Raw genomic sequence first — 24,611 nt, 5'->3', positions numbered from 1 at the left:
CTAAAAGGCTGGAGGAGGAAGAGGAAACAGAATAAGAAGAAAAAGAGAAAAGGGAGGGGCAACAGAAGAAAAGGGGTGATGAGGAAGGAGAAAACAAGGATTCAAACAGATTAATAATAAAACCACAAAACACCTTTTTAAAATTAATTAATTAATTAAATTGACAAATTATAATTGTATATATTTATGGGGTATAATGTGATGTTTTGATATATATAAAATTATAGAAAGATTAAATCAAAACTATTGAACATATCTATCACCATGACACTTTATCATTTTCTTGTGGTGAGAACATTTAACATCTATTACCGATTTTGAAATATATAATTATTATAAACATGGTCACCATGCTGTACAGTAGATCTCTCTAAAACTTATTCTTCCTGTCTATCTGAAACTTTGTACCCTCTGACCAGCCTCTCCCCTTTTCCCATACCTCCTCAACCCAGAGCCTCTATGAACCACCATTCTACAGTCTGTCTCTGTGAGATCAACTCTTTTAAATTCTACATATAAGTGAAAGCATACAGTATTTGTCTTTCTGTGCAGAGATTACTTCATTTAGCATAATGCCCTCCAGTTTCATCCATGTTGTAAATGGCAGGATTTCCTTCTTTTTAAAGGTTGTATAATATTCCATTGTGTATATATTCCACATTTTCTTCTTTTATTCATCCATTAATGAACACTCGGGTTGCTTCCATATCTTGGCTATTTTGAATAATGTTGAAATGAACATGGAAGTGGAGATATCTCTTCAACATATTGATTTCAATTCCTTTGGGTATGTACCCACACAAAGCACTTCATTTTAATCCATTTTCTTCTATTGTGAAGTTTTTCCTGTTGCCACTAAAACATCCTCTTACAAAGAAAGACCCATGATTTAGAGAGAAAAAAATGAGTAGTAATTTACAATTCAAGGATAATTGAAGGAACATTGATTTGATACCTGCCAGACAGCCATTCAATGCCACAGTGGCAAAAGATAAGACATCTGGTAAGACCCAAAGCTCTTCATTGGTTGCATGGACCCTAAGTGAAAGAGAGCTGTGGTCAGACCTGCCACTAACTTTTTGCAGCCCTGAAGAAAGATAGAGGCACTTATACCTTATAAATAAATATTTTAAAGTTTTAAATCAAGCTCACAGACTCTTACATAAAATAATTTTCTGTTTCACAAATTTATTTCCATAACATTTGACAAATATTGCTTCATAAGAACAAAATTTTAAAATATGGGTAAATATATTTTTTTATGATGAAAAGTCAGTACAATAGCAAAAGAGTAAATTTTTTTGTTATTGGTCAGGTATGGGTATTCTATTGGTGGCCAATGATTTTAAGGTGCATAATAAAATGAAAACATACATAATTCATAATTTATTATGTATGAATTTCATAAAATTGATGGTCTTTACCTTTAAGTAAAATCTGTGTTCAATTGATAGTAATGATATGAAGGATTAAAATATAAGTAAAATCATGTTCAACATCTAGAAAATTTGGACTTTTTCATCAAAATGTATATTAAAGTAAATGTTAAATATAATTCAAATTATCTTTAATTTATAAATTCAAAAGTCACCATTGACATCCAATATTATCTCTTAAATTTAAAAAGCAAAATATAAATTATAATTGATAATAAAGTTTTAAATCATACTTATTTGAGAAAAGCTGAGTTTTTATCTAACTTTTTGAAAATCTTTTTAAAAGCAATTTTCTTAAGCCAGGTGCAGTGGCACACACCTGTAATCCCAGCTACTTGCGAGACTGAGACTGAGTCAGGAGGATCACATAAGCCCAGGAGTTGAGGGCTGCAGTACATTATGATTGTGCTTGTATACAGCCACTGCACTCCAGCCTGGGTAACATAGTGAGATTCCATCTCTAAAAAAAACAAAAATTAAAAAACAACCCACTTTATTGAGATATAAATGATATACAAAACTGCACATATGTAATATATACAGTTGGATGAGCTCAGACATATGCACATGCCCAGGAAATCATCACCATAATCAAGGCAATAAACATATTCATCACCTTTAAAAGTTTCCTTGTGCCCTTTTATTCATTTTTTATTTTGCTTGTTTTTTGTTTTTGTGGTAAGAACACTTCATGTGAGGTCTACATTCTTAACATATTTTAAGAACACAGTACAGTATTGTTAACTGTGGGCACTATGCTTACAGCAGATCTTTAGAACTCATTTATCTTGTATAAAGGAAACTTTATACCCATTAAACAACTCCCCATTCCCCACCTCCACTCCCTACCCCTGGCAATCACCATTCTATTGTCTGCTTCTATGAACTTGATTGTTTTAGATACCTCATATAAGTGGGATCATGCAGTATTTGTCCTTTTGTGACTGGCTTATTTTACTTAGCATAATGCCCTCCAGTTCATGCATGTTGTTGCACATGGCAGGATTTCCCTTTGAATGATATTCTATTGTATGTATATACCACACTTTGTTTATCCATTCATTCACTGATAGAGATTTACGCTGCTTCTATGTCTTTGCTACTGTGAATAATGCTGCATAAACATGGGAGTTCAGATAGTTATTTCAATTAGTTTAGATATATACCCAGAAGAGGGATTGCTGGACAATATGGTAGTTCTAAGTTTAATTTTTTTAGAAACCCCCATAGTGTTTTCCATAGGGGCTATATCATTTTACATTCCACCAACAGCGCACAAGCGTTCCAATTTCTCCACATCCTCTTCAACACTTGTTATCTGTTGTTTTGTCTTGTTTGATCATGGCCATGCTGAGAGGTGTGAGGTGATCTCTTATTGTGGTTTTGATTGGCAATTATCTGAGGGTGGGTGATGTTGAGTAACTTTTTGAAAATCTTAAACCTTATTCAACACTTTTCTAAAAGTAAAATTAATTTTATTAGTTTTATTAGCTAAAACCAATTTTAGCTAATATAGTGTCAATTAATTGCCAATGTAAATAATTAGAGTTTTGTTTTGTGCATTTCAAGTCAAGACATAATACATACAAATTCAACAGAAATATGCATTGTTTAATGGCATAAAATATTCCTCAGCCACCATGTGTAACTGTTGTGAATACACAAAAACTTATAAGCACTTGTGGAACCACCTTTTAGGACACAAAATGAGGCAAGTAAATGGACCCTCAGGGCTATGAAAATGACTTTTCATTAGTCGTAATCAATAGATTATAAATGCATAATCTATTGCACTCATGCCAAGAAAGAAGGATTTGAAAAGTTAGTGAAAATTGTGTTCTCCCTAACCTGGGTGCCACTGCCTCACTCCTTCCTTCATTCAGATGCAGTGTCACCTTCAATCTCAGAAGTAGAAGGAAACACAGACCTTCACAGCATTTGAACCATCAATCATTGTTCACAACAAAGGGAAAAAAATATAGAGAATCCATTTCCTGGGTCCTGAACAGATCATGAGAACAGAATTTGTTTGGGGTGGCAGGTTGTATTGTCAAATACTCAGCATCAGATTCCAAGAGACCAAAGTGCACAGTTATTTGTGATATGTTGGGGCTTCCAAAACCCAGAGCAGGATCATCTTGCCTGGGTATAAGGAAGGTATCAGTTGTGGTTCAACCTCAAGGCAAAACAAAGGAAATTTAGGTTGGATTGTAAAATTGCATATGCTCTATCTATTCTTTTATAGTTCTTTAGACTTTGTTTTTACCTATATATTTTTCCCTACATAATTCTTGCAGTGAATAGTTAATACATGAAATTATGACCACCCAGCATGGAACCTTGGGCCAGTCACTTTTTCTTCTGTTTTCCCATCTGTAAATGGAGACAGATAAACTAACTATATAATTTTTGTCTTAACATTACTAGCTTTTGAGTTGCTATCTTCTTGCTTAATAAGAAGGAAGTTTTAGTGGCGGAAAAGCAAGGGGCTGTAAAGTCAATGAGACCTCATTAGCTCTGTGATTTGCAGCAAGTTATCTCATCTTTCTGGACCTCAGATTTCATAAAATAGAGAAATTTATGACTGCCTTAGAGGATAGTGTTCAGGACTAAATGAAGTAATACGTACTAAGTGCCAAGCAGAGTGCTGTATGCACCAGCAATGTATAGCAAAGCTCACATTTGGAAGAGAAAGCAAGGAGAAATGTGTGCATGTGTTTATGTATGTGTGCACGGTATGCGCATGCCTGTACATACACATTTATTGGAAACACTGAGGACATACAGCATGGGATCTGGGGTGGGAGTGGTGGGGAGTGGCTTGGAACTCATGGAGCTAAATAAGAATTTGCTGATTTCAGAACCTCATTTTGTATTTGGAGAAAATCTCTCTAGAAATTATGGGAGGAACATCTATGTTTCTGAGTAAACTTTTTTTATTGAAATGTAACATGCACGCAGAGAAGTTAACAATTCATAAGCATAAGCATGCAGTTCAAAACATTTTCACTGAGTGAGCACACCTGTCTCAGTTCATTTTGTGCTGCTATAAGAGAATACCACAGACTGGTTAATTCAGAATGAATAGAAATTTATTGGCTCACAGTTCTGGAGGCCAGGAAATCCAAGATTGAGGGGCAGCATCTGGTGAGGTCCTTCTTGCTACACCATCCAAACATGCAATGACAAAGAGGGTAGGGAGAGAGAAAGGGATTTAACTCACTTTTTTTTTTTTAATTTGAGGCACAGTCTCACTCTGTTGCCCAGGTTAGAGTGAAATGATGCAATGATGAATCACTGCAACCTCTGCCCCTGGCTCAAGGGCTCCTTCTGCCTCAGCCTCCCAAGTATCTGGGACTACAGGTGCATGCCATGATGCCCAGATAATTTTTGTATTTTTTTGTAGAGATGGGGTTTTTTTATGTTGCCCAGAGCTCAAGCAATCCACCCACCTTGGCCTCCCAAAGTGCTGGGATTACAGGCATGAGCCATGGTGCAGAGCCACTCCTTTTAATAACAAAACATGCCCTAAACAACAGGATTAATTCATTCATGAGGGTGGAGCCCTCATGTCCTAAATCACTTTTCATTTGGACACACCTTCCAACACTATTGCATTGTGGGTGACATTTCTAATGAACACTTTTGGGGCAACATTTAAACCATAGCAACACCCATGCAACCAGCATCTAATAAAAAAATAGAACATTTTCAGCACTTACACAAGCTCCCCTTGTGACCCCTCCTACCTAGTCACCGACCACTGCAACAGCCCATGTCAAAGCTAACCTCTGATCTGATTTCTATCTCAAAGATTAGCCTATTTTTGAACCTTATATAAGGGAATTGTATAGTATGCACTCTTTTGTGCTTGGCCTGTTTCTCTGAATATTATGTTTCTGAGGTTTATCCATGTTGTTGCGTACAGTTGTAGTTTTTTCATGCTCAGTGTTATATAGTATTTCAGTGTATGAATATCTCTCTATTATATTTATATATAATAATATATAATATAGAGATACATAATAGAGAGATATTCACACACTGAAACATATATATCCCTATATCTCATTCCTCTCTTGTGACTAGAAACATTTTAGTATATATCTTTTGGTGAACGTGCTTGGGGTACACACCTAACAGTGTAGTTGAGTTATAGGGTATGCATGTATTCAACTACTACATATACTGCTGAACAGTTTTCCAAAGTGGCTACCAATTTACACTCCCACCAGCAGCATGGGGAAGTTCAAGGACCTAATTTTAAGATTCTAACTGAGAAAAGGACACCTTTGCTTCTTGTGCTGTTGGTTTTGGTGTTGAATTATAAGTGACTTTTCTTTCATTTCTCCATTTGGCTCTCTATGCCATGTGAAAACACACAAAGCCCTCCCTACAAACCTTCCCACATCCTCTGTTGCAGTGTTTGCCATTGAGTGTGTTTGTGGCAGTGGGCAGGGGAGAGGGGTCCCTCTCCACTTTCCTAAAGTTGAAAGTCCTCTTTGGTGACTGTATTAGTCCATTTTCATGCTGTATTAGTCTGGTGGCCTGTATTAGTCCATTTTCATGCTGCTGATAAAGACATACCTGAGAATGGGTAATTTATAAAGAAAAAGAGGTTTAATGGACTCACAGTTCCACACAGCTGGGAAGGTCTCACAGTCATGGCAGAAGGCAAAAGGAACATCTTTTTCAGATAAACAAACAAACAGAGGATTTACCTTCAAAAGACATTGACCAAAGAAACTTCTAAAGAATGAATGAACTTCAGGAGTAAGAAAATGATCTCAAAAGAAAGACTGAAGAAACAGGAGAGAATTGTGAGCAAAGAAATTAGCAAACATGTAGGCAAGTTGTCATTATCTTTATGTGTAGTTAGTATAATAGTGTTTATTTTGTGAGGGGGAAAAATAACGGAACTAAAAGTGTATTACAAAAATATCCAAGTTGGGAGGAGGATGCTCAATGCTAAAGTACACTAAGTTTGTTGAGTTGCTCCAGATATTGAAAAACCCAGATATTGTTAAGTTCATTACACGTAATAAATTCCAATGGCAACATTTTAAAAAGAGAGGTTATGGCTTTCTAACTAGTAGGACACAATAAGTGAAAAAGCAAAGAAAATCGATTTTTCCAAAAGCATAGCAAAAGCAGAAAAATATAAAGCACAAAGTAAGATAGTTTAAATGAATTTAAATATACCAATAGTCCTAATATTTATACATATATTAACTCAAAAGAGATTCTGAAAATTGATTTAAAAAAAGAACAGTCCCCCTACCTACTATTTAAAAGAGACTTACTAAAATATAAACTAATGGCAAGATTCAATGTAAAAGGTATGTTGAAAAAAAAATATGCCAACCTCTATCCATGTTCATGGGTTGGAAGAATTAATATTGTTAAAATGTCCATGCCACCCGATATCATTTGGCTCTGTGTCCCCACCAAAATCTCACATTGAATTATGATCTTCAGTGTTGGAGGAGGGGCCTGCTGGGAGGTGATTGGAATATGGGGGTGGATATCCCCCTTGCTGTTGCATGATAGTGAGTGAGTTCTCATGAGGTCTGGTTGTTTAAAAGTGTAGTGCTTCCCCCCTTCACTCTCTCTCTCTCTCCTACTCTGCCATGTGAAGATGTGCCTGCTTCCCCTTCACCCTCTGCCATGATTATAAGTTCCCTGAGATCTCCCAGGCATGCCTCCTGTACAGCCTGCAGAACTGTGAGTCAATTAAACCTCTTTTCTTCATAAATTACCCAGTCTCAAGTAGTTCTTTATAACATTGTGAGAATGGACTAATACAGAAAATTGGTACCAGAGGTGGGGTATTGCTATAAAGATACCTGAAAATGTGGAAGCAGCTTTGCAACTGGGTAGTAGGTAGAAGTTAGAATGGTTTGGAGGGCTTAGAAGAAGACAGGAAGATGTGAGAAAGTTGAGAAATTCTTAGACACTTATTGAATGGTTTTGGCCAAAATGCTGATAGTGATATGGACAATGAAGTCCAGGCTGAGGTGGTCTCAGATGGAGATGAGGAACTTATTGGGAACTAAAGTAAAGGTCACTTTTGGTTATGCTTTAGCAAAGAAACTGGTGGCATTGTGCCCCTGCTCTAGAGATCCCTGGAACTTTGAACTTGAGAGAGATTATTTATGGTATCCGGTGGGAGAAATTTCTAAGCAGAAAAGTGGTCACGATGGGCCTGGCTGCTTCTAAAAGCCTATGCTCATTTGCATAAGCAAAAAATTAAAAATGACCTGAAACTAGAACTTGTATTTTTTTTTTTTTTTTGAGACAGAGTCTTACTTTTTGCCTAGGCCAGAGTGCAATGGCATGATCTTGGCTCACTGCAAGCTCTGCCTCCTGTGTTCATGCCATTCTCCTGCCTCAGCCTCCTGAGTAGCTGGGATTACAGGCACCTGCCACTGCGCCTGGCTAAGTTTTTGTATTTTTAGTAGAGACGAGGTTTCACCGTGTTAACCAGGAAGGTCTCGATCTCCTGACCTCGTGATCCACCCGCCTCGGCCTCCCAAACTGCTGGGATTACAGGCGTTAGCCACCGCGCCTGGCCTAGAACTTGTATTTAAAAGGTAAACAGAGCATAGAAGTTTGGAAAATTTGCAGCCCAACCATGCAATGGAAAAGGAAAACCCATTTTCTGGGGAGGAATTCAAGGCTGCAGAAATTTGCATAAGTAAAGAAGAGCTGAATGTTATTAGCCAAGACAATGGAGGAAACGCCTCTGCGGTATTTCCAAGATCTTCACGGCAGCCCCTCCCATCACAGGCCTGGAGGCCCAGGAGGGAAAAATGGTTTCCTGGGCCAGGTGCAGGACCCTGATGTTCTATGCAGCCTTGGGACATGGTGCCCTTTGTCCCAGCTGCTACAGCTCCAGCTGTAGTTAAAAGGGGCCAAAGTATAGCTCAGGTTGTTGCTTCAGAGGGTGCAAGCCCCAAGCCTTGGTGGCTTCCACATGGTGTTGGGTCTGTGAATGTGCAGAAGGCAAGAGTTGAGGCTTGGGAGCCTCCACCTAGATTTCAGAGGATGTATGGAAACATCTGGATGTCCAAGCAGAAGTCTGCTGCAGGGTTGGAGCCCTCATGGAAAACCTCTACTAGGGCACTGCAGAGGGGAAATGTGGGGTTGAAACCCCAATGCAGAATCTCCATTGGGCCACTGTCTAGTGGGTCTGTGAGAAGAGAGCCACCATCCTGAGACCCCAGAATGGTAGATCCACTGACAGCTTGCACCATGCACCTGGAAAAGTCACAGGCACTCAATGCCAGCCTGTGAAAGCAGCTGTGAGGGCTGTAACCTGTACAGCCACAGGGGCAGAGCTGCCCAAGGCCTTGGGAGCCCACCTTTGCATCAGTGTCTCCTGAATGTGAGACACTGAGTCAAAGGAGATTATTTTGGAGCATTAAGATTTAATGACTGCCCCACTGGGTTTTAGACTTGCATAGGGCCATTAGCCCCTTTGTTTTGGCCAATTCACCCCTTTTAGAATGAGAGCATTTACCCAATGCTTGTACCCCCATTGTATTTTGGAAGTAACTAACTTGTTTTTGATTTTACAGGCTCAGAGACAGAAGGGACTTGCCTTGTCTCAGATGAGACTTTGGACTTGGACTTTTGAGTTAATTCTGGAATGAGTTAAGATTTTGGGAAGGCATGATTGTGTTTTGAGATGTGAGAAGGACATGAGATTTGGGAGAAGCCAGGAGCACGATGATATGGTTTGGCTCTATATGTCCCTTCCCAAATCTCATGTTGAATTATGATCTTCAATGTTGGAGGAGGGGACTGCTGGGAGGTGATTGGATCGTGGAGGCAGATTTCCCCCTTGTTATTCTCATGATAGTGAGTGAATACTCATGAGATCTGGTTGTTCAAAAGTGTGTAGCACTTCCCCTTCACTCTCTGTCTCCTGCTCCACCATGTAAAGGTTGTGCCTGCTTCCTCTTCACCTTCTGCTATGATTATAATTTTTCTGAGGCCTCCCAGGCTGTATTAGTCCATTTTCACACTGCTATAAAGAAATACCTGAGACTGGGTAATTTATAAAGGCCAGTACCAGTCTGTGGCCTGGAAGGTCGGGACCCCTATACTAGAAGATATGTAAAAGAAAAGAAAGTTTTATATAAGGTTGTATGTTGCAACGAAAAAATGGAAACAATCCAAATGTCCATTGACAGAAAAATAAATTTAAAAATTGTGGTTGGTGGGGCACAGTAGCTCATGCCTGTAATGCTGGCATTTTGGAAGGCCAAGGTAGAAGGATTGCTTGAGGCCAGGCATTCAAGACCAACCTGGCAAACATAGTGAGACTCCATCTCTAAAAAGCAAATTGTGGCACAGTAGCCACACAAAGAAATAGCACACAGTAGTAAAATGAATGAAATATGGTTGGAAACAAGAAGATAAATGAAACAGAAAATATTTAGTGAAAAATAACAAGTCACAGACAACACAGCATGATACCATTTTTATAAAGCACAAAATTAAACAAAGCTACATAATATATTGTTTATGGTTACTTATATATGTGATACAACAATTTACTATTTTTAGAAAATAAAATAAGATGGCAAAAAATACAAAATTCAGACTTGGAGTTACCAGTTGGAGCAGGAAAATGAAGGCAGAGGAGAAGAGTCCATACATAAAATTCATAAGTATTAGTATTGCTCTAATTCTTAAATTGGGTGATGGGTTAAAATGCTCATCTTAATATTATGCTCCAAAACTTATGTATGTATTACATTATTTGTATTAAATATTACCTTATAAATTATACTAATCCTGTATAAAGAAAAGTGAGATTCCTGAGTCCTCCTCCCTGCCTGCTGTAATCGAGTGACTTGCCCACCTCCAGCCTCACCAATGTAGGTGAAAGGAGCAGTTGTACCAGGGAAACTCTAGACTCAGGGACAGCAAGAGATTGGAGAAAAACTACATCACCACAGAGGAAAACAATAACAAACTGTTTCCCAAAATAGTTGTACCAGTTTATACTCCTGTCAAAGTAAAAACAATCAAACATGTGGAGTCACACAAAAAAGAAAAAAAAAAGGAGGAGGAAGAGAAAGAGGAGGAGGAAGAGAAAGAGAAGAGGAAGGAGGAGAGGAAGGAGGACCGCTTCTACCATGAAACCCATGGGTCAGCAAACTTCCATCAGACATAATTGACAGTTTGATGTTTCCCTGTTACTGGAACTGGACAGCCAAGGACCAGTAGGATCTTGGGGAACATCTCCTCATAGAAGACGTGGGCCTATGCAAATTGAAAAGGCACTCAAAGAAACACAATGCAGAGTGGAGAAATAAAACATTTTTAAATTATCATGAATTTTCTTAGAAAAATGAGAAAATAACATTCATTTTCTTTTTTTTTTTATTTGACAGAGTCTCGCTCTGTCACCCGGGCTGGAGTGCATCGGTGTGATCTTGGCTCACTGCAACCTCCGCCTCCCGGGTTCAAGCGATTCTCCTGCCTCAGCCTCCTGAGTAGCTGGGACTACAGGCACATGCTACCATGCCTGGCTAATTTTTGTATTTTCTTGTAGAGACAGGGTTTCATCATGTTGGCCATCTACAAACCCTGTCTTGTAGAGACAGGGTTTCATCAGTTGGTCTTGAACTCCTGGCCTCAAGTAACCCATTTACCTCAGCGTCCCAAAGTGCTGGGATTACAGGCATGAGCCAAACAAAAATATCATTTTCTTAATAAGAAAAGGATGTAAAAATGGAGCAATGAGGGAACAACAGCTCTTGGAAATGAGGGGAGAATATATGAAAGATATATATATATTACATATGTATATGAATGATAGGTGTAAAAAATTTTAAGTAAAATGGTTGTAAAATAATGAGCGAGAATTTCCTAGAAAGGAAATAAAAAGAATGATGTGATGGAAATGCAATGAAAATTAAAAAATTAAATCAGTCCTGGAAATATAACATCTGACTAATAGAAATTACAACAATAAAGAACAGAGAAAACAAAGGATAATGACAAAAACATAATATGAGAACATTTCTCAGAATGGAAGGACACATATCTCTGATTGAAAATCCTACCAAGTGCTTGGCAAAATGAATGGGAAAAAGCCTTCACTGGTCATATCATCTTTTCCAAACTCTTACAAAGGATCAGACTCTCCAGTGGATATCTCAACAGTAACCCTGGAAAATACAAGTCAGTAGAGCAATGCCTCAAAATTTGAAGGGAAAAATGATTTCCATTTTGGAACTCTATACTCTGTGGAAATACTAATAAAGTGTGAGAGCAGGATAGACTTATTTTCAAACATACCAAATTACAAAACTTTTAACCCTGCATGTGCCTTTTCATAGGAAACCAGACAGGATGTACTGTACTGAAAAGAAGGCATAAATGAAGGCATTTGGTAACAAAGGACCCAGCACAGGAGAAAGGTGAAAAGAATGCTTAGGACAATGGCAAAACAAGGATCCAGGGCATCATCTATACAGAGGATCTAGGAAGCAACCAGTACAAACTGGAGCACAGAATTGTGAAGTGTGTGTGTGTGTGTGTGTGTGTGTTTGTGTGTGTGAGAGAGACCTCAGGATGGGTATTTCTTGGAATAAAATGTAACTAGTATATTTTCTGACATATTTGGGAAAGTAGAAAAATGTTTTAGAAGTTATTTTACAAAGCTATCTGCTATGATTTGAATGCTCGCATTCCCTCCAAAAGTTATGTTGAAACTTAATCCCCAAGGCAACAGTGGTAAGAGCTAGGGCCTTAAGGGGGGTGATTAAGTCATGAGGGCTCTACCTTCATAGATAAGATTAGTGCCTTATAAAAGGGTTGGAGGGAACTAGGTAGGCCCCTTTTTGCCCTTCTGCTCTTCTACTATATAAGAACACACTATTCAACCCAGCTAAAGGACACAGCAACAAGGCACCATCTTGGAAGCAACGATTGGGTCCTCAACACAAGTGAGAACTGCTGGTGCCTTGATCTTGTACTTCCAGCTTCTAGAACTGTGAGAAATAAATTTCTGTTCTTTATAACTTACCCAGTCTCAAGTATTTTGTTAAAGCAATACAAACAACTAAGACAATGTCAGAAGATGTAGAAAAGCTTAACTAGAGAATCAATGAAAGAAGTAGTTTCATTGTTTACCTATGAAGAGAGAGTGACATGGGAACCAAGGCTCAGTAGTTGGAGTAAGGATGTTATCCAACAGGCCCTGCCTAAATTCCCACAGTACTTGTGTATTTAGGGGCACTATTAAAATGCAAATTATATCTTGGAGATATTATGATCACCTCTGTTGTTAAGCTCAATAAGTTCATATTAGAAGCCCAGAATAGCACAAATACACATGACATTGTATCGGGAGGTAGGGAAAACTTTAAAACTAATTATAACAACTTTTATCTAAAATAAGAAAAATTAAATAAAATATGCTTTGCCAGTATAGGTAGTCATCACTTTGCATGATTCCATTATGCACAAATTTTAGTTACAGCTTTATTAAATAATACTAGTCTACTAGCAACACAGCTCAAATTTCAATTACCACAGTAGATTAACTGTGAGCAACCTCATAAGGTATTAACAAATAGGAAAATGCAGCAAAGAAATGAAAAGTGATAATGCTGGAAATGAAATAGAATCCAACATAAATGGCATTATAGAAGAAACAGGGGACCATGGATGTCCACACTGCCACCCTTTGAGACACTCTAGGTTTGCAGCCAGAGAATGTAGTGAAGGCAAACTTATTGACATAAATGAGGAAAGTGGAGGTGATGAAAAGGATAAAAATGCCTCAGAAGAAGTGACACTGGCAAAAGAAAATAAAAAGTCTCCTTAGAGCACCTCTTGGAGATACTTCACAACATTGAAAGGTAAAGTGTTGGAAGTGGACCAAAAGTAGAAAGGATATGACCATTCACCCAGGCATAGAAAAGATGGTCTCTCTGCAACTGCTTTTCCTGCCCCAGGGACAGTAACTACCATAATCTGAAAAGAAGACGGTGGCAATATCAAATAAAAATGGATGGATGCAATCCCAAGCAAAAGGTGTTATCTGTGAATATTCAAAGAATAGAATTGCAAGTCAGGGCACATTCAACAGACTGGGGTGGCCCCTGGTGGGTCCAAAGAACAAAGGAGAAGGTTGAGCTTTTGTAAGGAGAGAGAAAAACTACATAAATTGTCTTGAAAGAAAGTTTGTTAACACTTGTGGCTATGCCTGAGCTGGGGAGCTCTGGTTGGCCAGTGGTGGCAGTTACTACCACAGTAAAACTAGTTTTGGTCTGGTGTGGTGGCTCATGCCTGTAATCCCAGCACTTTGGGAGGCTGAGGTAGTAGAATCTCTTGAAGCCAGGAGTTCAAGACCAGCTTGGGCAGCACAGTGAGACACCGTCTCTTAAAAAAAAAATTAAAGAATTAAAAAATTAGCTGGGAATGATGGCACGCGCCTGAAGTCCCAGCTACAGGTGAGGCTGAGGTGAGAGGATCACTTCAGCTTGGCAGGTTAAGGCTGCAGTGAGCAGTGATCATGCCACTGCACTTAGCCTGGGCAACAGAGAGAGACCCTGTGAAAAAAAAAAAAGAAAAGAAGAAAAAGAAAGAAGAAAGAAAGAAGGAAAGAAGGAAAGAAAGAAGAAAGAAAGAAAGAAAGAAAGAAAGAAAGAAAGAAAGAAAGAAAGAAAGAAAGAAAGAAAGAAAGAAAGAAAAAAACTAGTCTTGAAGTCACAACAGGTTGTTTCAATTGAAGTGGTCCCCTTGTAACCTGCATGTTTTTTTCAAGGCCTCTTGACTCTATTTTAGTTGGATGTGACAGTAATGCCTCCACTTTGTATAATAAATTTTCACAATGGTCACAAACTAAAATGTATTTACTGAAAGTAAATGCAATTGGAAGATGCAGACACAGCATGGTGAAGATGTGAAGAAGCAAGTATTCCAACAAATTATATAGTGCAGAAATTTCCTTTACAGTTGCATTAAGAGTAGATGTTTCTAGCACATCTTGGCTTATGGTATTTGCTGCATTTGTTTCAATAATGCATAACTTTTTTGTGTGAGCCAATAAAGAAAAGATGGAAATAATCAATTTAATAAACATAATGCTTTATGGCAAACTCTGTTAGGTGTGGCCACCAGTGAGGGGGCTGCCTTGGCTGGAGTGTTGGGGAAAAGAATGTTCCATGAGATTCCAGATTCCACAAGATTCCAGAATCCATTCTTTCCAGATTCCATGAGAAGGTTCTGGAAAGGGTGCTGCATGTGAAAATCATCCAGTGCTTTATTTATTTGTAGACAAATGCTCAGCTGAGGGATTGAGGCCAGAAGTGCTACTGTGTATGGTTAATTTTAGAAATATAGGTCATGGAAATACAGTCAAATCTTTATAATACCTTGCAGTGAGATAAATAATAGCTATGAAAATATTTTATACTTGCCAGCTATTTCATGGAAGGGTTATCATTCATCAAGATGAGTTCTTTTTAAGAGTTCCAAGAAAATATTTTATACTTACTGGGCCTATTTCATGAAAGGGCTAACAATCATAAAAATGAGTTCCAAGTTAAAATTTAAAATTTAAATTTAAAAAGTTTAAAAGTTGCAAATTTTCCAACATTTTCTGTGATGACAAGCATCTGCCAGTAGTGTGCTATTTAAAAATTATCTTTGAAAAATACATTCAATCCATTCCTTTCAGGTAAAAATGCCATCTCAACAATGAATAATTGCCGCTGCTTTTTTTTTTTTTAAAGAAAATCAGATCTGGAGAAAATATTTTGAACATGAATGTTTGGAACTGTTTCCATTGTGTGATTTTTTATTGAAGAAAAAGATGTTTGTGTCTTACCTTAAAGAATCTCATGTTTGGGCCTTACCTTAAAGAATCTTATGTTTGCGTCTTACCTTAAAGAATCTTTCATAGCTTCATGCTCAAAAAACTTGAGATCAGAATTTTAAAACCTGGTTTTAATGGTGTTCAATGGCATTTGAAAATTTTTCAAGTATTTAAAAAATACCTTTGAATAATTGTCAGTCATACTTATTGACATCTGAGAATATGAAGATCTGCTAGCCAAAATTCCACATACACCATTGTACGCCAGCATTTGAGATTAAAAAATGAATATCATGATCTGTAAGCAAGCCTGTCATGCACCTTTCCATGTGGGACATTGTTGTAGAATGCAGTTTTCAGTTATGTCAGCCACTTCAGCAAATATTAAGATAAATCGAATTTAGATTCAGACCTTTAAACACTGTTTCATAAATTCTTAAACCCAGGTTTTAAAAAATAATAATGTACTCAAATCACACTGCTGTCATTAAAGATATTATTAACATCTTTTTATTTTAGTAAAGGTAAACATCTTTATGCCATCTTAAATAACATTAAAATTACTTTAAAATTCATGTTTTAAAATTTTTTTCTCATCTTTTAAAATTGTTCACTTTTGCATGTATTTTAGAATTGAATACTATATTACTTTAGTGGTGAACATACATAATTTAAAAGTGAATGTACATATTAGCTGGACATGCTAACATTTTTTATTTATATAGAGGTGTAGGACCAAAAAGTTTGGAGACCTCCATTTAAGAGTATAGGCGTTATAGTCAAATGTCTTTGCCGGATGCTTTCTAGATACATAATTATGGTGAAGTTATTTGCTTCCTTGTGCCTCTATTTCCTCATCAGCAAAATAGGGATAATAATATTACCTACCACAGGGGTTACAAACCAAATGTCTACAGGAGATAGGTAGGTTTTTTTAAAAAAAGTCCTGTGGCCTTCATACTGTATATTTATTTTTCCATTTTGGTAGAAGCAGGGATACAAAATATTTGCATATTTTAAGAAACAATGAAACTGTGCAGATATAAAGGCAAATGGGAGCCCATGGGAAATGGCAAGGCTTGTGGCAAAATGGAAATGTCATCCTCACCTCAAGTGTGCAGCTGCCACTTGGCACTACCTGGAAGCTGCCCAGAACTGCCAGATTCCCTCTGTATTCCAAATAATCAAAAAAGTGGGGTTTTGATGTGAGATCTCCTGGTTTTTAAATATTGGCAAAAAGATGTACTAACAGAAAGTCAAATATCACATGCTCTCACTTATAAGTGGGAGCTAAACAATGTGTACACGTGAACATAGAGAATGGAGTAATAGATGCTGCAGACTCAGGCATGTGGGAGGGTGAGAGGCAGGTGAGGGATGAGAAATTACCTGTGGGGCACGATGGACACTATAGATGACGTTTACACTAAAAACCCAGACTTTGCCACTATGCAATATATCCAAGTAACAAAACTACCCTTGTACCCTTTAAATCTATTTTTAAACATATGTTTTTAAGAAGATTCAGGCAAAGAAAGCTTGCATTAAACCTCCGGTCTGTGACTTCTGTGTTGCCCAGAAGACTAAATGAGATCATGAATGTTAGTATGGGTCTAGCCTTTAATAAACGCTGGGGGTAGGTGGTAGCTATTTTCTAGCAGATTAAGCTTCTAGTTCTCTGCGCATTGCTCAGAGAACAGATCTACATGGGGTATTACAAGAAAGGATAGGATAAGGCAAAGAAAATGAGAGAAAAGAGAAGTGAAAATGAATTTCACCAGCTATTTTGCTTAGAATGGATTCTAATTACCTTTTGTTCCAGATATTGATTTATTCAAAGTGTTTTTCCTCAACAGGAGCTCCAAATCTGGTGAGGGAGACAATTATTCGAAGTGATGAACTCTAGAATCAAGACCTGAACAAGTGAGAGTGGGAATACAGTCACTTAATGATGATACATTCTGAGAAATGTGTTAGGTGATTTTGTTGTTGTGCAAACATGATAGAGTATACTCAACAAACCTAGATGGTATAGCCTACTGCACACCTAGGCTATTTAGTATAACTCATTGCTCCTAGGCTACAAGCCTGTTCAGCATGTTACTGTACTGAATACTGCAGGCAATTGTGACACAGTGGTATTTTTGTATCACAACATACCTAAACATAGAAAAGTAACGTGCTGTGCTATAACTACTACAACATCAATAGGCAATGGGAATTTTTCAGCTCCATTATAATCTTAAGGGACTATGGTCACATATGAGGTCCGTCATTGACTGAAATGTTATTGTGCATCACGTGACTGTACATTTACGCCAGAGAAGGAAAGGAAATTGGCAATATACGGCATGAAAGAGATGCTATTGGAGTCTGGATTTGAGGGATCCTTGAAGCCTATGAATCAAAAAAGGCAAAAGGACATTTCAGGCAGAAAGCATTATATAAAAGGATGTGCCACCTTCTGTGCGTAGTAAGAGTCTTCAGTGAGGAAGAAGTGGTGAGAGAGGAGCCAGGACAGACAGGTTGTAGCCAGACTGTGAAGGGCCTCTGTAGACTCAACTACAGTTTGTCTGCACCACGTCCTACAGTGGATGCCAGGTGCCCAGATTTATAATTTCAAAAGGTCACTGGCTTCATTGTGGCGGCTGGGAGGAGGGGAGAGAGCACAGAGACAGGAAGCCAGTTTGGCAATGCTGCAGAGGTCCAGATAAGCTCATGATAGTCTGCCCTGAGAAGAGGGAGTAGAACAGAGGTATAAGCAGGTACGAAGGACCTTACAGAGTCTGCTTTCTTCTTAGATGTGGGATGCAAAAATGGAAGAAATGGCACGGAAGCCTCTCCCTAAGTTCCTCCTCCTCCTCCTCTTCCTTTGGTTGTCTCTCTCTGTATATATACATACAAGGTATGCTTGTATGTATGTATGTATGTATGTGTGTGTATATATGTATAGGTGTCCATAGACAAACACACATACATATATATATACACATACATGTATGTATACACACACATACATACATACAGGCATACCTTGAAGATATGCTATGTGTTCAGTTACAGATCATGGCAAGGAAGTAAATATTTCAGTAAAGCAAGTCACACAAATTTTTTGGCTTCCCAGTACATATAAAAGTTATTTTTATACTATTGTGTAGTCTAGTAAGCCTACAATAGCATTATGTCTAAACATCGTACAAACCTTACTTAAAAATACTTTATTGCTAAAAAATGCTAATGATCATCTGAGCCTTCAATGAGTCATAATTTTTTTTGCTGATGGAGGATCTTACCTCAATGTTGATGGCTGCTGACTGACCGGGGTGGTCGTAGCTAAAGGTGGGAGTAGCCATGGCAATTTCTGAAAATAAGACAGTGGTGAAGTTTGCTGCATTGATTGACTCCTCCTTTCATGAACAATTTCTCTGTAGCATGCGATGCTGTTTGATAGCATTTTACTCATAGTACAACTTCTTTCAAAACTGGAGTTAGTACTCTCAAATCCCACTGCTGCTTTATCAACTAAGTTTATATAATATTCTTTTGTTGTTGGTGTCATTTTAGTATTTTTAATTTTTGCTCTTTTTCCTATCTATGTAATTCCTTGTAAAAGTTTATGTAATGTTCTAAATCCTATATTGTAATTTCAATAATGTTCACAGCCTCATCCCTGGGAGTAGATGCCATCTCAAGAAACCACTTTTCGCGCTGGATGCAGTAGATCAGGCCTGTAATCCCAGCCCTTTGGGAGGCAAGATGGGAGGGTAGCTTGAGCCCAGAAGTTTGAGACCAACCTAGGCAACATAGCAAGAGCCTGTCTCAAAAAACAAACAAACAAACAACAACAACAAAAAATCACTTTCTTTGTCATTTGTAAGAAGCAACTCCTCCTCTGTTCAAGCTTTATCATGAGATTGTAGCAATTCAGTCACATCTTCAGACTTCACTTCTAATTCTAGTTCTCTTGCTATTTCCACCACCACCGTAATCTGCAGTTACTTCCTCCACTAAAGTCTTGAACCCCTTAAAATCATCCATGAAGGTTGAAATGAACTTCTTTCAAATTCTTGTTAATGTTGACATTTTAACTTTCTCTCATGAGTCATGAATATTCTTAATGGCATCTCAAATGGTGAATCCTTTCCAGAAGGTTTTCAATTTACTTTGCCCAGATCCACCAGAGGACTCACCGTCTATGTCAGCTATAGCCCTACAAAATGTATTTCTTAAATAAAAAGACTTAAAAAATTACTCTTTGATCCACGGGCTTCAGAGTGGATGTTGTATTAGTAGGCATGAAAACAACATTCATCTCCTTGTATATCTCCATCAGAGCTCTTGGGTAACCAGGTACATTGTCAGTAAGCAGAACTATTTTGAAAGGATCATTTTTCTGAGTAGTAGATTTCAACTGCAGGCTTAAAATACTCTGTAAACCATGATGTAAAGAGATATGCTGTTATCCAGGCTTTGTTGTTTCATTTATGGAAAACAGGCAGAGTAGTTTCAGCATAATTCTTCAGGGTCCTAGGATTTTCAGAATGATAAATAAGCACTGGCTTCAACTTAAAGCCACCGGCTACAGTAGACCCTAACAAGAAAGTCAGCCTGTCCTTTGAAGCTTTGAAGCCAGGCATTCACTTCTCCTCTCTAGTGATGAAAATCCTAGGTAGCATCATCTTCCAATAGAAGGCTGTTTCATTTACACTGAAAGTCTTTTTTGGTGTAGCCACTTTCATTAATTCCCTTGGCTGGATCATCTGGATAACTTGCAGCTTCCCCATCAGCACTTGCAGCTTCACCTTGCATTTTTACATTATAGCACTATTATATTACACCTGGCACTCAAACCTTATGAACTACCCTTTGCTAGCTTCGAACTTTTCTTTTGTGGCTTCTTCACCTCTTTCAGCCTTAATATAATTGAAGAGAGTCAGGGTCTTGCTCTGGATTAGGCTTTGGCTTAAAGAAATGTTGTGGCTGGTTTGATCTTCTATCTAGATGACTCAAACTTTCTCTGTATCAGCAATAAAGCTGTTTTGCTTTCTTATCATTCATGCATTCCCTGGAGTAGCACTTTTAATTTCCTACAAGAACTTTTTCTTTGCATTCACAACTTGGTTAACTGTTTGGTGCAAGTGAACTAGCTTTAAGCCTGTCTTGGCTTTCGACCTGCCTTCCTCACTAAACTTAATCATTTCTAGCTTTTGATTTAAAGTGAGAGACATGTGACTCTTCCTTTCACTTGGACACCTAGAGGGCATTGTAGGGTTATTCATTGGCCTAATTTCAATATTGTTGTGTCTCAAGAAATAGGGAGGCACAAGGAGAGGGAGAGGGACAGAGAAATGACTTGTTATTGGAGCAGTCAGAAAACATACAACATTTATTAAGTTTGCCATTTATATAGACTCAGTTGGTGGTGCCCCAAAACAATTATGAGAGTAAGATCAAAGATTACTAAATCACAGATTGCCATAACAGATGTAATAATAAACACTAAAAAGTTTGAAATATAGCAAGAATCACCAAAATGTGACACAGAGACATGAAGTGAGCACATGCTGCTGGAAAAATGGCACCAAAAACTTGCTTAATGCAGGGTGGCCGTAAACCTTTAATTTGTAAAAAATGCACTATATGTGGATCACAATAAAGTGAAGCACAGTAAGATGAAGTGTGCCTGGATATATATACATACATGTTTTAAGACACATATATATATATATATGTCTTAAAAGGAGAGGGGGGAAGCAAATGGAAAAAAGCATCTTATGAGATGATCTTAGACAACAACTACTTATCAAAATAATCAGAAATGTGTTTGAAAAAGTTACAGATCACACCCCAATTGTTTCTCTGAACCACCTTGTTTTCGTCTCTCCTATGTGAAAGACTACGTAGTTTTCAAGACCCAGCTGCACTTTCATCTCTAAGTGAAGTTCCTTGACTGCCACTCTCCCTGCTTCATCCCTTTTCTAGGGGAGGATAATTCATCCTTCTCCCAGTTGAGTTTTCATTACATTTTATTCACACTTCTGCATAACCCTATGCAACATGCCAGTATTATGCATAATTAGCTGCAGGTCTGTTTTTCCAGCTAATTGCATGACGCAGGGAGTCTTATTCAGTTTGGGGTTTCCTGTGCCAAGCATGGTACCTGGTACCCTAGTACGTGCTCAATAAATCATGCTGAATGGATGAACTCCATATACTAGAGGGATAGGCTGGAAACAGAGATGGTAGTTGGCTTTGTTTGTAATTTTTATTGTTGTTGTTCTTTGTTTTGTTTTGATGCTGTTGGTTAGTAAGGTAAAGTTTGTGATAGTACCTAGCAGGGTAAAGATTTAGCATTTGTAAAATTTTGACATGATCTGCAATCCATATTAGAATTCTGGGATTTGGTAGTGAGGAAAAAACACTGAGGAGATTTGAAGAGATCTCTGTTTCTTCCCTAAAGTTTCCCTGTCTTTTCCCTAAGGGCATAAATAGAAGCCTTGGGCATAAAGAATCAGGAACCCCACTGGCCATGTGTGGGCAAAAGGCCCCTCCTATGTAATTGGATGTAAAAAAAGAAAATCTCTTTTAGACAGGCACAGGGTTTTGGCTGAAGTTCAGCGACATACCTATTCTAAGCTGAATTCGGGTATAGCCCTAATAATTACAGTTACTCTTTAGAGAAAGAGCCCAAGAGGTTTACCTGGAGATTTTTTCCAGATGTAAGCAGGTATGCGAGAAGCCAGTAATAAAGATGTAAACCGGATGAGGCCATTTTGTGCCCCATAGTCTTTCCTCCAATCGTTCGAATGCTAGGAGATGTTCCCCAGCAATCATAAGGATGATGCAACACAGCCGTCTAACAAACACCAGATGCCTGAATAGCCTTATAAGCTCTGGTGTTAAAGAGAAGGGGGGTAAAACCCCAAGTTTGAATGCCTCTGCAGTTATCAATCTGTCATGAATTGTAATCAAACAGAAACAAACCTCTTTATTCCATCAGTTCCTGGGATAGGTCCATCATGTGTCCTGCAGACATGCTCTGAGTGTGGTGAGAGCCCTCACGAACCTGTCCTCCTTCTTCACCCTCCCATGGTAGACTCTGACTTAGTGACATTGGTAAAGCCACCCCACCCCCACCACCTGGGCTTTATATCTTTTTGGATGAGAAAGGATGAGCTGGATCAGCTATGCCAGAAACTGAATATTTTGGTTAAATGCATCTTTAGTATCACCTCTATTCTTTCTTTTTTCTATATGAATCCAGAATAGGACTTTTTTTGCTGTGGTAGTTAAAATTCTTAGGAGTGTTACTTGGGTGATGGATGCACTAAAATCTGAGAATTTGCCACCATAGAATTCATCCGTGTTAGCAAAAACCACTGGTACCCCAAAAGCTATTGAAGTAAAAAAATTGTTTTAATTAAAAAAAAAAGAATTATTAGGAGTGTTAAAGTTAGCCCTTTGAAGAAAAATATGAAACTTTCTGTCACCAAAGTGTAAGAAAATCAAGACGTACGAAGGCTTAATTAGGCCTCTCTGAAATAACACAGTCACAATGCAGAATGTGTTTCGGAAGTGTGAATTGCAGTTAACTTGAAACAAATAAGAAATGCTATATACATTTTTCCCCCAGGTTCAAACCCACCACAGCTGAACACTATCCAAGTAGCCAGTGTCCTACATGGGAGGCAGCCCAGAGTGGAGCTAGGGGCTCAGTGTTTGAAGTCACAGGAACTTGGATTTCAATTTTAGCTTGGCCATGGACTAGCTATGTAATTTGTCTTAATTTTTTGAGCTGTTAGCACTATCATCTGTAAAATGAGGATAAGACTACCTACCTCACAGTAGAAATAATGGATCAAGTGCCTGACTTATTGACAGAGGTTATTCAATCCACAGTATCATTAAGGTAAAAAGAAATCCTGTGGTGGGATTGAAGGCCATGGGAATAAAGTTCAGGCAACTGCAACTTAACAATTATGACTCTCTCCTGGGCTGTATTTATACATAAAACCTCTTTTACTTTGCTTTCTAGTTATTTACGCTTCTATACCTTGCCCATGTCGGGGCTGTGCTGAACTAAGCACTTATTAATTTCTGACTGACTTTCCCTTCTGCTTATTCCAGAAAATTTGTCTGGTTCCATGATAATAAGGGTGAGTGAGTATATGCTTACTGGGAATAGCAGGGTAGACACTGCAGGGAGGAGCGTTGAAAACCTTGAAATAAGAATGAGGCTCCTTGGCTGGGCATGGTGGCTCACACCTGTAATCTTAGCACTGTGGGAGGGCGAGGTGAATAGATCACATAAGGTCAGGGGTTCAAGACCAGCCTGGCCAAGATGGTGAAACCCCATCTCTACTAAAAATACAAAAATTAGCCAGGTATGGTGGTGCCCACCTGTAATCCCAGCTACTCAGGAGGCTGAGGTGGGAGGATCGCTTCAACCTGGGAAGCAGAGGTTGCAGTGAGCTGAGATCATGCCACTGCACTCCAGCCTGGGCAACAGAGCAGTGAGACTCCAAAAAAAAAAAAAAAAATAGAGAAAGAAAGAAAGAAACTAACTCCCTGGCATTCATAATCTGACAAGTTGGTATGGTTTTGTAATCAACTAAAAATTAGGAAAATCTCATGTGGGCTAGGAATCTGATTTGGCTACCAAATTTCAGGTCACCATGGTTTTATTTCATGATGGTTCCATAAAAGCTCTTTACACCCACAGGACAGCCTTTCAGGTGTTTTGGGCAAGGGGTGTCAGAGCTGCCTCATTCAGAGCTTACAGTCATTTTTGGGCCAATTCCTCCTAGACTGGCCCACAAGACTGACCTCTTGGGAGTAAGTGTATGGGAAGCATTCTTGCCAGAATATTCTTCTATGGCAGAGGGCTTTTTCAGGTAAAAAATCATCAAAATATGGTGAAATTTCAATCTGCTGTGTAAAGAACCATGAGCTCTGGTTTGAAACCTGTATGGGGTGCTAGTAAGCTTGTCCCAAACACAGTTTTTAAATTCAACCTTTTTCGAATGTCAGTATCTTCCAAAAGTCGTTTTGTTGTTAAGATCTAGGTAACAGCAGTTTTCTGACAAAAAGAAAGAGTTGAAGATTTGGGTACATGGCACCTTTGAAGAAATATCTTAAATGGTTAAAAAAAATGATGATAATTTTGAAAGGAAGTATAAGAAAATAGAAGAGATGAGAAAGGTGATATGTAAATTTATACACTGAAGTCTGCTCTCTAATTCTTGGAATTACTGTGATGAACCCTGCCATGGACATCCTGTGGTCTAGAAAGGCACTGGGAAGCACCACTGGGCAGCCCAGGCTCAGTC

At 38.3% G+C, this 24,611-nt stretch overlaps 2 long non-coding RNA genes across 2 annotated transcripts in view; one reads left to right on the top strand and one right to left on the bottom strand.

The window, feature by feature from the left end:
* MSRB3-AS1 (MSRB3 antisense RNA 1) overlaps nt 1–24,611 on the top strand; it is a 175,556-nt gene that overhangs the window by 149,771 nt on the left and 1,174 nt on the right. The gene's annotated exons all lie outside the window — the stretch shown is intronic.
* LOC105369809 (uncharacterized) lies at nt 4,355–18,142 on the bottom strand. Its single transcript, XR_945036.3, has 2 exons — nt 17,093–18,142; nt 4,355–4,598 (listed from the first exon to the last, which is right to left on the bottom strand). It is a non-coding gene; the product is annotated as an uncharacterized LOC105369809 (long non-coding RNA).

The sequence above is a fragment of the Homo sapiens genome, chromosome 12 (genome assembly GCF_000001405.40).
Source record: "Homo sapiens chromosome 12, GRCh38.p14 Primary Assembly".
NCBI lineage: Eukaryota > Metazoa > Chordata > Mammalia > Primates > Hominidae > Homo > Homo sapiens.
The sequence above is the reverse complement of the archived record's forward strand: the minus strand, read 5'-3'. Positions and strand labels throughout refer to the sequence as shown.